Genomic DNA, 13,399 nt, shown 5'->3' on the forward strand with positions numbered 1-13,399 from the left:
ACACCCAAAATAACAATGTTGGGCTCACAGCGAGTGTTCTGTAACTTTTATTTGGTTAACTGGTTTTTTTCTCAAATTATCTTATAAGATAGGTGTATCTACAATAAGAAACAGCGGAAAGTGAAATTTTTGTCAAATAATAGGGGAAATATTTATTGAACAGAGCAAAGTAATAATTCATTAAAGTCATTTTTCTGTTTCTAGGAAAATTATTTTGTCATAAAACCAATGGATCACTGCCTCCTGTGTGTGTGTGTGGTGCCTTTGCCTGACCATCTCTGCCGAGATGACATCCTCTTGGGGGATGATGGGGGTTTTGTGAACAGATTCACAGTCAACAGTGATGACTTTGGAATAAAGCAGGCAAAATCCAAAAGAAAATTACAAAATCAGGTCTTAGACTCAAAGAACTTTAAAAGGTAAGAGTATCATACAGTTAATTTAATTCTTTTAATAATTATAGTCTTTTGCAAGTAAGCTTTATGGTACAAAGTGAAAAATGAGATTTAAATTACAGAAAATAAGAAATTAAGACAAAATTAAAGTAATATAAACAATTAATTATAGTCATTGTTCATGTATACACACACACACACACACACACACACACACACAGAGTGAAATGCTTCTGGCCTCAAGAAACCATCAGTGTAATAGCTCCTAATTTAAGTGCTATTGACAACTAAAACTTACAGGTACTTGAGTAGATTGAAAAGTTAAATGAAAAAATTAAATCGTGAAAAAAACTATAAAAGATACATGTGACTAGTTACTAGCACTTGAAGATAGGAAAAGTTCTAAATATAAAAGCAATGGATATAGAATTCAAAGAAAAAGTTTGATAGATTTGACTATATACAAAATAAAACCTCTGGACATCAAAAGCTAGTATTTTAAAAGCAAACTGGAATAAATATTTGTGACAAATATGACAGACAATGGGTTGATATTTTTAACAGGTCTTAGAGTTCAATTAAAAGATATAATCCTCCAAGAGAAAAATGAGCAAAGGTCATGAACATGTAATTCACAAACATGTGCACACAGTACAAATGGTCAACAAACATTTCAAAGTGATCATCAGAAAAAAATGCTAACAATAGTTATCCCCAACTGATAATTATCATCTTCCTTATAATTGCAATGTCTTTAAAGTTTTTGAGAAAGGTATGTATTACTTTTATTAGCCGAAAAACCTAAATTTTATATTAAATGGTCTTCCTTATTTATCATAGAAGTACAAGTTAAAATCAGATACAATTTTTCACTTATAAAATCAGAAATGATTAAAAATGGGGAAGACGCTGTGAGCTGGGCATTCTCACATTAGTTGGTGGTAAAAGTATGAGTTGGATCCACCTTTCTGGAAAGAATTTCGGAAGCTGCATCAAGTGCCTTCATAACCATTAATACATTGGGACTTGGTATCCCTATCTTCAAAAATATCAGTATGGTTATCACAGCTTCGCCTTGCCTTGCCTTTCTTTCCTGTTTTGACAGAGTCTCACTCTGTCGCCCAGGCTGGAGTTCAGTGGCGCAGTCTCGGCTCCCTGCAACCTCCGCCTCCCGGGTTCAAGCGATTCTCCTGCCTCAGCCTCCTGAGTAGCTGAGATTACAGGCACGTGCCACCAACGCCAGGCTAATTTTTGTATTTTTAGTAGCAACGGGGTTTCACCATGTTGGTCAGGCTGGTCTCAAACTCCTGACTTTGTGATCTGCCCGCCTCGGCCTCCCAAAGTGCTGGTATTATAGGCTTGAGCCACCGTGCCTGGCCCACAGCATTATTTCTGATGGTAAATTATCTAGTGTCCAATAAAAGGGGAATGGTTACTTTAGATATTAATCATTTACATAAATAATTCAGATATATAAATATATAATATAAACATAAATGATATATATTTATATATAAAATACATTTTTTGTCTGACACCTAAAATACATTCAGATTTCAAGGATGTTCAGTAAATCATAGTATAACCATATGTCATGCACCCATTTAATTGTTTTAAAAAATATTTAATGGCATGAAAAGTGTTTATGACATAATGTCAAGTAAAAATTATTTATCTTTCAACAGATGAATTTGGGGGATAAAAAAATTTTAATTTAATTAATTTTTTATGTATATATGAATCCAGTCTTATAAATGTGTATATGTGTGTGTATTTCTACTTAGAAAAATATTGAGTATAAGTATCCAAAACTTTAATAAATAATTTCTATAGGACTTCAAAGAGGTGATTTTTAAAATTTTATTTGTTTTCTAAATTTTGTACAATGAACATTTTTTCCTTATAAAGACATTAAAAAATGGATTATACTTTGTTATTATGTAACAAATACTTTATCCCAGAGTTAGAATATGCAATTAAAAGCTCATTACAACTGATACTACGTGGAATTAAGACTAGTCCCATTGCTGGAGCCCTAAGAATGGTACAATAAAATTTACTGGCTCCATTTTCCATCCTTCACATATAAGCAGTATTACTTAGTCCCAACAAAGAATTAGACCTGATGGAGGACTTCCCCAATCTGTGATGTGCTGCTCTATATACTATTAAGCATTTCATTCTAGTTATGCTAGGCTTTTAGAATAGATGCTGAGACATGAATCTGCTTTTTATTAATATGTGTGCCACCTGTCAGAAAATTCCATGGCTCATTTTTCAATCCCAATCCCTGTTTTCATTAGATAGATATGTGAAAAATGAGATTTAGAAGTCTGAGGAAGTTAAGGAATCTGGGTACAGTTAAATGAATGCTAATTCATGTTGGTTCTTGTGGTTATTATATTCATGTAGATGATTTAATCATGCAGATGATTTAAATCATTCAAGACTACGGTGTATATATAGGCTGAGTGTTGCGGCATTTTCTTACACCAAGAGATCTTCAAACCTCACCAGAATGACAAGTATTAAGGCCAAAGAGTTAATTAAATTCTGGAGCTATCATACAAGTTTTCCTGCAGCTGACATCCACAGAATTCATTCTTGTTGAATGGGTGGATATGGGGGTAGTAAACACTGATATGCAAACCATTATACAAATTAAAGAAAGAAGTAGCCAGGATCCAGAGTTCAAACATATCTGGCATGAGAATAGAAAGCTCCCTCCCCACTCTGTTTAATGTCATATTGTAGAACTTTCATGCCTTGAGCTGTAAACATTTCTATTCCTCAACTAGAATTTAAGCAACTTGGTGACAAGAATTTTTACCTTAATCATCCTTGTGTCCTTAGTACCTGGGATGCAGTAGGTGTTCAATAGATGTGAATGAGGAGACAAATAAGCCATTAAATATTGGTAAATATAACACCATGAAGACAGAATTTTGAGGCAGAGGTTTTGTCTGTAACCTTAAGCCCCACATTCAAATGTTTTGTGAACTGATGGCCAACACTCTGACAAGGAATATTATCACTATCCCCCACTCAGCTTCACCAGTGATCTCAGATTTTACATTGCCCAGTACTTCAGTTTGAAAAGTACTAATGGAAAATATATTTTCAGATGGATTGATTCAAATAAGATATAAAAGAATATGAAGCATACTGCTCCATTTGGATCATTAGAAATTTTCTAGTAAAATAAAATCAATAGTGCCATTATTGAATTGGGATTCTTCTAGATTGTTCTTTTAATTCTGAATTCACAGCTCAAATTTTGAAGAGTCTTTTAAAGTTACTTTTCCATTTTAAGTATGCTTGATTATAAATAAACAGTTAAAAGTGGGCCAGGTGCAATGGCTCATGCCTGTAACCCCAGTACTTTGGGAGGCCGAGGCAGGCAGATCACCTGAGGTCAGGAGTTCGAGACCAGCCTAGCCAACATTATGAAACCCCGTCTCTACTAAAAATACAAAATTAGCTGGGCATGGAGGTGCACACCTGTAATCCCAGTTACTCGGGAGGCTGAGGCAAGAGAATTGCTTGAACCCAGGAGGCAGAGGTTGCAGTGAGCCGAGATCGCACCACTGCACACTCCAGCCTAGGCGAGAGAGCAAGACTCCATCTAAAAAAAAAAAAAAAAAGGTGTTATAATGCATTGGGCTGTATTCTACATTTGGGTTTAGTACAATTCAGTTACAGTCAAAGTAAATTGCTGAATAGAAACATATTATACGTTTGTGTGTCTAACATAAATCTCCCCTGCCTTTTCTTAATCCCCAGTGTTAAAAGGAAGCTACATAATGACTGGGTTATGAAAATTAGATATATTTCAGCCCTAAATTGTTTTGGATCCTGCTCCTTAGACAGTAATCATTCATTAGTTTTGGAATCCTTGAAGAGACTCGAGGATAATTTGTAAGTATAGTAATTTATATACATGAACAGTCTGTGAATTTCAAGCTTTTTACAATGATAAAACCATGACAGCTTTGAAACTTTCAAACTGGCTTTAAAAAAATCGGACATTAACTATTCCATTTGTTTGGGAAGGTTAATTAGATTTCTCAGGAAGAAATTGAAGCCACTTATGCAAATTTGAACATGACGTGTCCTAACATCAACTGTGCCCATTTGTTGTTTATTTCTATCATCTACTGAAATTAATCAATACGAGTGCATCTATAACATATTTCAAAATATAGTTCTGTTGGTAAAATTTTATAATTTTAAAATCATTCTTACAGGTCAGTTGGCTAACCAAGAGCTTGTGAGTATGATCTGTAGACCAGTAATCATGTTTCATGTGTAATATACAAGTTGGCATCCTCATAGAAAGGTTCATTTGAATATTGTCTTATTTTCAATCTGGTTAAATATGTATTAATAACTAGAAAACCGATATTGTATCTTAATTTGGGGTTTTAAAATTGCATTGAGATGTATGCTACAACATGAATGAATATCAAAAACATTAAGCTGAATAACAGACGCCAGACAAAAAGACTGCATATGGTATGATTCCATCTATATGTAATATCAAAAAAAGGGCACATTTATAGACACAGAAAGTACATCAGTGGTTGCCTAGGACTGGTGGTAGAAGCAGGGATCCCACATGGGCACAAGGGGACTTTCTTGGGTGATGAAAATGTTCTAAACTTATTGTGGCGACTGTTGATTGTTACACAATTCTCTAAATTTACTAAAAATTATTGAGTTGTACGCTTACAATGAGTGAATTTTATGATATGCAAATGTTATGATACCTATTGGGGTATTACATACCCTAATAAAGATGTCTCAGAAAAGCTCATCGAGACTCCTGGCTGCCTTCCAGTCTGGCATGTAAAGAGCTTGGAAGTTGCCATTCCATCCTAACAAGTAAAAATGTAACAAACTAAAAAATAAATAATTTTTCTTAGATCCATCAGAGAAGTAAGGTCACAAGGCAGTTTTGTTGCCCCCACATTGGAGAGACAGAGGGGCAAACACTGGGAATCACAACTTACTGGAGCAGAAATTCATGGGCAGGAACCCCCTGAATAACCAGTATAGGGCAGGAAAACCTAAATTGTAATGGACAAGTGCTCAGCATGGACAATTTTAGAGTTAAAAATTCCAGGGGTGCCCAGTCATAGGGGCCCCTATGCTTTTGTGAGTTTTACTTCCAGGAGTTCAACAGATTCTTAAAGTGAGTATCAGTGAAAAATTCTCTCTTACTTCTGGCGGAGGGGAAGGAAAAGGCACCATTTTGAAACGTGCCAGAACATGTTGTTCTTTCCAAGGTATGCCCTCAAGAGAAACTATGTTATCAGAGTCTAAGCTATTGGAACTTTGTCAGGGAATAACTCACAGAGGGAAGGAAAACATCCACTCTAACCTCTGGTCGCACCTAAGAGGGAGGGTGAGGAAGACTGACAAGCACTTGTGAAATTCGCAATCCAGACACACAGGCTCATCAAAAGAAGGAGACTTACTCACAGGATTCACCTTCCCCCACAGCTTACTGACATGTTACTAATGGCCTATTTATAGCAGTTCCCTTTACCCAGTAAATCATGTCCAGCTATCAAGAAAAAAATTACAAGGCATACTAAAAGGCACAAAACAGATTGTCAGAGTGATCAAAAAAACAAGACCCAACTATATGCTGTCTATGAGAAACACACTTTAAATATAAAGACACATATAGGCTAAAAATAAAAAGATGCAGAAAGATATACTATGCTAAAACTTATCAAAAGAAAGCAGAAGAAGCTATGCTAGTTTTATATAGAACAGATATCAGTGCAAGGAAAATTGTCAGGGATAAAGAAGGGCATTACATAATGATAAAGGGGTCAATTCTTAAAGATGCTCTGACAATCCTTAATGCAGATGCACCTAACAACAGAGCATCAAAATTAATGAGGCAAAAACTACAACTCCAAGAGACAGAACAAGCATCAGAATCAGATGCAGACATGGCAAGGAGGTTGGAATTATCAGAATGGGAATGTAAGACAACTACAATTAACAGGCTAAGGGCTCGGATAAAGCAGGCAGCAGACAAGAACAGACGGGCATTGTAAACAGAGAGATGAAAATTCTAAGAATAAAAAGTTCTAAAGATCAAAAACACTGATAGAAATGAGTAACGCCTTTGATGGGCTCATTAGTATACCGGACGTAGCTGAGGAAAGAATTTATAGAAGATTCAAAAACAGAAAGCAAAGAGGAAAAAAACTGAAAAAACAAAACAAAACAAAAAAAACCATAGGATATCCAAAAACTGTGGGCAACTGTGAAAAGTGTAACATATGTGTGATGAGAACACCAGAAGAAGAAAGGGAGAAAGGAAGAAAAGGTACATTTGAAGTAATGACTAAGAATGTCCACAAATTAAAATGAGACACCAAACCCCAGATCCAGTAATATCAGAAAGCACCAAGAAGGATAAATGCCAAAAAATAACTATACCTAGGCATATCATGTTCAAACAGCAGAAAAGTAAACATAAAGAAAAAAACTGGCTGGGCGCAGTGGCTCACACCTGTAATCCCAGGACTTTGGGAGGCCAAGGTGGGTGCATCACAAGGTCAGGAGTTAGAGATCAGCCTGACCAACATGGTAAAACCCCGTCTCTACTAAAAATACAAAAATTAGCTGGGCATGGTGGCGCACACCTGTAATCCCAGCTACTCAGGAGGCTGAGGCAGGAGAATTGCTTAAACCTGGGAGGCGGAGGTTGTAGTGAGCCGAGATCACACCACTGCACTCCACCCTGGGCGACAGAGGGAGACTCTGTCAAAAAAAAAACAAAAACTTGAAATGAGCCAGAGGGGAAAAAAACAACTTATCTGTAGAAAAGCAAAGACAAGAATTACTTGTGATTTTTCCTCAGAAATCATAAGCAAGAACAGTTGAGTGAAATATTTAAAGTGTTAGAAGACCTACCAGCCTAGAATTCTGTATACCGTGAAATTAGCCTTTAAAAGTGAAGGAGAAATAAAACTTTCTCGGACAAACAGAAATTGAGGAAATATGCTATCAGTATACCTGCTTTTCAAGAAAGGGTAAAAGAAGTTCTTCAGAGAGAAAGAAAAGCCGTAAGTCAGAAACTTGCATCTATATAAAGAAAAGAACAGCATCAGAGGAAGAAAAAGTAAAGGTAAAATAAAAATTGTTATTTTTGTTATTCTTAACTTTTCTAACAGATAATTTGTTCAAATAATAATGACAGCAATGTATTCAATTATATACACAATATATACACATATAAACATATATGTATGTATATATGGTATATTTGCTATGTGTAAGCAAAATAAATGACAGCAATAATACAAATAATGGAAGGAATTAGGATTTTTGTTTATTTTAATATACTTGTACTGCCTGTGTAGTACAGTGTTACTTGAAAGTGGACTTGGATTAGTTGTAAATGTATATTGCAAATGATAGGTCAACCACGAAAAATTGTTTTTTAAAAAATGTGTAACTTATATTCTAAGAAAATAGAGAAAATGAAATCATGTAAAGTGTTTATTTTAAAACACAAAAGGCAGAAAAAGAGTAAAAGACAAAAATAGAAACAAAGAAAAGCAGCAATTAATAGAAAACAATAACAAATATAGTAGATATTAATCCAACTATGTCAATAATTACTTTAAAAGTCAATGGTCTAAATACAGTAGTTAAGAGACAGAGATTGTCAGAGTGATCACAAAACAAGACCTAACTCTATGTTGTCTATAAGAAACCCACTTTAAATATAATGGCACATATAGATTAAAAGTACAGGGATAGGGTAAGATATACCATGCTAACACTTATCAAAAGAAAACAGGAGTTACTATAAAAACACTTAGCAAAGTAGGAATAGAGGGAACATCATCAACTTGTAAAAAACATCTACAAAAAACCTCCAGTTAACATCATCTATAGTACTGGACAGTTTTCCCACTAAGATCAGGTATAGCATGTTTGCACAATACAAGGTTATTATATACAAGTCAATAACTTTCCTATATCCTAACAATTAACAAGTGGCATTTTAAATTAAAAACATAGGCTGGGCACAGTGGCTCATGCCTGTAATCCCAGCACTTTGGGGGGCCAAGGCGGGCAGATCACCTGTGCTCAGGAGTTCAAGACCAGCCTGGCCAACATGGTGAAACCCTGTCTCTACAAAAATACAGAAATTAGCCAGGCATGATGGTGGGTGCCTATAATCTCAGCTACTTGGGAGACTGAGGTGGGAGAATTGCTTGAACCCAGGAGGCAGAGGTTGCCGTAAGCCGAGATTGTGCCATTGCATTCCAGCCTGGGCAACAGAGCAAGACTCCATCTCAAAAAAATAAAAAAATAAAAAAAAAAAAAAGAAACACAATGCCATCTACATTCGCATTTGAGAATGAAATACTTAGGTATAAGTCTAACAAAATATGCAAGATCCAAATGAGGACAACCACAAAACTCCAATTAAAGAAATCAAGGAATTAAATGAAGAGATATTCCACGTTCATGAATAGAAGACTCACTATTGTCAAGATACCAGTTTTTCCCAACTTGATATGTAGAGTCAATGCGATCTCACCCAAAATTCAGGAAGTTATTTTGTGAATCTTGACAAGTTCATTTTAACATTTATATGGAAAAGCAAAAGGTCTTGAGTATTCATCACAATAATGAAGAGGAAGAAACAAATCATAGGACTGACAAGTCAAGACATAAAGCTATAGTAATAAAGATAGTGCGGTATTGTAAAACAATGGAAAAAATAGATCAACAAAGCAGAAATAGACCCACATAAATATAGTCAACAGATCTTTGACAAAGGAGCAAAGGGAATACAATGGAGCAAGATATTCTTTTTAACAAATGGTTCTAGAACAAAGAAATAATTGATGAGCTGTACTTCATTAAAATTGAAACCTTCTGCTCTGCAAAAGACTCTGCCAAGAGAATGAGAAGACAAGACACAGACTGGAAGGAAGTATTTGCAAAAGACATATCTGATAAAGGACTGTTATCCAAAATATACAAAAAATTATTTCAACTTTATAATAAGTAAACCAACAACCCAATTGAAAAATAAACAAAAGATCTGAATAAATACTAAGATACACAGATGGGAAATAAGCATAAGAAAGGATGCAAAACACTTTAAGTCATGAAGGAAATGTAAATTAAAATAAGATACCAGTACATACATATTAGAGTGGTCAAAATCCAGAACACTAACACCACCAAATGCTGGTGGGGTGTGGAGCAAAAGGGACTCTCATTCATTGCTGATGGGAATGCAAAATGGTGCAGTGACTTTAGAATTCCGCTTGACCGTTTCTTAAGAAAATGAAACATACCCTTACTACATGATCCAGCAGTCATACTACTTGGTATTTACCCAAAGAAGTTGAAAACGTATATTCACACAAAAATCTGTACATGGATGTTCATAGCAGCTTTATTCATTATTGCCAAAACTTGGGGGCAACAAAGAAATCTTCAGTAGCTGAATGGATACACAGACTCTGGTAATCCAGATGATGGAATATTAGTCAGTGCTAAAAGGAAATGAGCTATCAAGCCATAAAAAGACATGGAGGACCCTTAAATGCATATTACTAAGTTAAAGAAGCCAAACTGAAAAGGCTACATACTGTATGATTCCAATTATACGACATTCTGGAAAATGTAAAACTGTGGAGACAGTAAAAAGATCAGTGGTTTCCAGGGCTTTGAGGGGAGGGAGGGAGCATAGAGAATTTTAGGGCACTGAAACTACTTTGTATGATACTGTAATGGGGGATAATGTCATTACACATGTATCAAAACCTATGGAGTGTACAACACCAATTGTGAACCCTAATGTAAACTATGGACTTTGGTTTATAATCTTGTGTCCATTATTATAACCAATGTAGCACTGTGGTGTGGGATTTTGATTTCGGGAGAGACTGTGCATGTGTGGGGACAGGGAGTATGTGGGAAATCTCTGTGCCTTCCCCTCAGTTCTGCTGTGAATCTAAAACTGTTCTGAAAAATAAAATCTAGTTTAAAAATGTGCTGAGCTACAAACAAGAATCTGACTTGTTGCAACAACAACAGCCATATTATTCGGATTTAGCCTTAAGGATGAGCATAAACCTATCTAAAAAAAAGATTGGTTAAAACATATAACCCTTCTCTGGTGATTTAATTCCATTCTTAAAAATTTATTTTCAAAACCCTAATAAATTTTTCTGAATTTCAGCTTTTTAATCTAAAAAATGGGTGAGTCGAAAGGAGATTGATTGTTAGCTATAGAACTTGGTCTCCTTCCCCACCTTTACATTTAGAGAACAACTAAAAGTAGTACTAGGAAAAATGGTGAGTAGCCTGTCCCCCTAACAAAATGCATGATGTCCTTTAGGTGCTCTTGAGCTGTTTAAATGAAATTCATACAAAAAAAAAAGAGTCACAAAAAATAGCCTCTGCATATACAGACTTAGAATTCCTTTAAATTCTGAGGTTTTAAATTTAAGCAATGAAATAACAGAATTAGAAATTTAATGGAAGAACAGCATATCACATCTCTAAGATGTGACTTTTTCTAAGATGTGATTTTCTTGAAAATTGTAGACTTCATGAAAGATACTTTTTTTTCACTCATTTAGAAAGGACGAAATGTTTATTTTGCTGTATAACATATTGCACTGAAAGACAAATTAAAAACCCTTCACAGCACATTAAAAACAGTTTCATTTCTTGACACCAGATTGGATTCCACAAATATCATTTATATGGCATAATTAATTGCATAGTTTCATTTAGTTTCTGTAATATAATTAACTGCTAGTGATTATACTCTTGCATTTTAAAGGAGTGCATTTCTGAAACATTTAATTAAGAAATAGATGCAAGTTTATATCCAATTTGATTATATACTATGCTGGCAATTCGTGATACATTCATAACCATAAAGGAACACTGTGAAAACGTATGCAGATTGATATGCCCTTGTAGTCCTACAGAAGACATATTCTACTTCAACATCCAGAGAAAACATGTTCATTTCCAAGATACACAAATCTATAGCCTCCATTTTACCAGGGCAAACATTTCCAGCACATTTACCAGGGTGATTACAGCAACTAATGTAGCAACCAGAAACTTATACAGGTCATATATAGCTTTTAGTCCAGAAATATATCTGTTATCCAACAAATATTTAGTAAGTCACTATGGGATAAGCACTATGGACAATACAAATATATCTAAGCCACGACCCCTGCCTCTACATGCTTAAAATTTAAGTGGTAAGATAAAACATACAGACATAAAGTCAGTGGTATGTTGAAGTCAGTTCATATTAGCTTATGAGAGTTGATTGTTAAAATTTCAGGAATTAGGCAAGCCTGTTGTTAAACATTGTCATCTTGGGATGTCAAACCTAAGCCAAAAACAATCAAACAAACAAACAAACAATCACTGACATCATTCAAAATTGAATTATATAAGCTAGTAGTTCAATTATATAAAGAACAAAGGCAGTAAATACTCAAAATACGTCACTTCTTTTTTATTTATTACAATTTACCATTGTCTGTGTTCTTGAGGGTTTTTAAAAAAATATCCTCAGAAAATACTACACAGTACAATGGCGCACAACTATATGTTTTTTTTCCTAACTCCATGTTTAGAGATGTCACATTGGTAATTTGGAAGCAGCCATGCTACCATATTTATAGCATGGAAAACAGCAAACTCTAAAAATCAGTCGACCCACCCTGCTTTCCCTGGCTGCAGCTGAATATTACACATTTACCAGCACATCATTACATGGGATGATAATTATCAATGCAAAGCACGATATATCAAAGATCAGTTGAATGGTTTAGAATTATAGGCACAGTAGAAGTTAAGAAAAGGGAGTAATAAACGATAGTTCTCAGCAAGCCTAAAAAGATAAGAACAAGAAATCTTACTTAGAGGACTATAAAAATAAACTTGGCAGTGATTTCATCAACGAGAAATGTTATAACAGCCACAATAAACATACCAAGTCTGCATTTGGAGGGATGAAGTGGCTTATTTCTACTTTCTTAAAGAGTATCTTTATACTGGTGCATTTAATTGCCTATTGCCAATGCTAAGATTATAAAATAGAAATCAAGGCATTATTCTGAGACCAGACATAGTGGCTAAGCCTGTAATCCCAGCACTTTGGGAGGCCAAGGTGGGAGAATCACTCGAGCCCAGGAGTTCAAGACCAGCCTGGGCAACATAGGGAGATCCTGTCGCTACAAATAAGTTAAAAATTAGCCAGGTATGGTGGCATGCGCCTGTGGTCCCAGCTACTTGGGAGGCTGAGATGGGAGGATCACTTTAGCCTGGGAGGTCGAGGCTGCAGTGAGTGATGAGCACACCACTGTACTCCAGCCTGTGGAATGGAATGAGACCCAGTATCAAAAAAAAAAAAAAAAAAAAAAAAAAAAGCATTAGTCTGAATAACACTGATAAGACCCTAACTTACAGCACCTGGATTTTTTTCTTTCAGAAAAAGTTCTCTTCAGAGAAAGTTCCTTTCTCTGACCTCCTCTTTTATCTTATCAGCTCTTGAACACTCTAACTCCCACTACAGCTACTCAATGACCTCACTGAAGTCTCAGATATCTTTGTTATTGGAAAGGGATCCTGATCCTGACCCCCAAAAAAGGTTCTTGGACCTCACGCAAAAAAGAATTTGGGGGCGAGTCCATAGAGTAAAGTCAAAGCAAATTTATTAAGAAAGTAAAGGAATAAAAGAATGGCTACTCCATAAGCCAGGCAGTGACATGGGCTGCTTGACTGAATACACGTATAGTTACTCCTTAATTATATGGTAAACAAAGGGTGGATTATTTCTGAGTTTTCTGGGAGAGGGGTGAGCAATTCCTGGAACTGAGGGTTTCTCCCTTTTTTAGACCATAGAGGGTAACTTCCTGACATTGTCCTGGTGTTTGCAAACCGTCATGGCACTGGTGGGAGTGTCTCTT

The 13,399-nt window shown here is 35.4% G+C and overlaps 1 protein-coding gene and 1 long non-coding RNA gene across 8 annotated transcripts in view; one reads left to right on the forward strand and one right to left on the reverse strand.

Moving 5' to 3' along the window:
• The window catches only part of WDR64 (WD repeat domain 64), a 150,497-nt gene that overhangs the window by 31,002 nt on the left and 106,096 nt on the right, over positions 1-13,399 (forward strand). For all 7 annotated transcript variants that reach the window (NM_001367482.1, XM_011544087.3, XM_011544091.2 and 4 more), the window contains 2 exons: positions 205-419; positions 4,179-4,313. In NM_001367482.1, the coding sequence (NP_001354411.1) occupies positions 205-419; positions 4,179-4,313 (350 nt within the window). The remainder of the gene's footprint in view (positions 1-204; positions 420-4,178; positions 4,314-13,399) is intronic.
• The window catches only part of LOC124904603 (uncharacterized), an 81,624-nt gene that overhangs the window by 22,659 nt on the left and 45,566 nt on the right, over positions 1-13,399 (reverse strand). The gene's annotated exons all lie outside the window — the stretch shown is intronic.

This window comes from Homo sapiens, chromosome 1, assembly GCF_000001405.40.
Source record: "Homo sapiens chromosome 1, GRCh38.p14 Primary Assembly".
Lineage (NCBI taxonomy): Eukaryota > Metazoa > Chordata > Mammalia > Primates > Hominidae > Homo > Homo sapiens.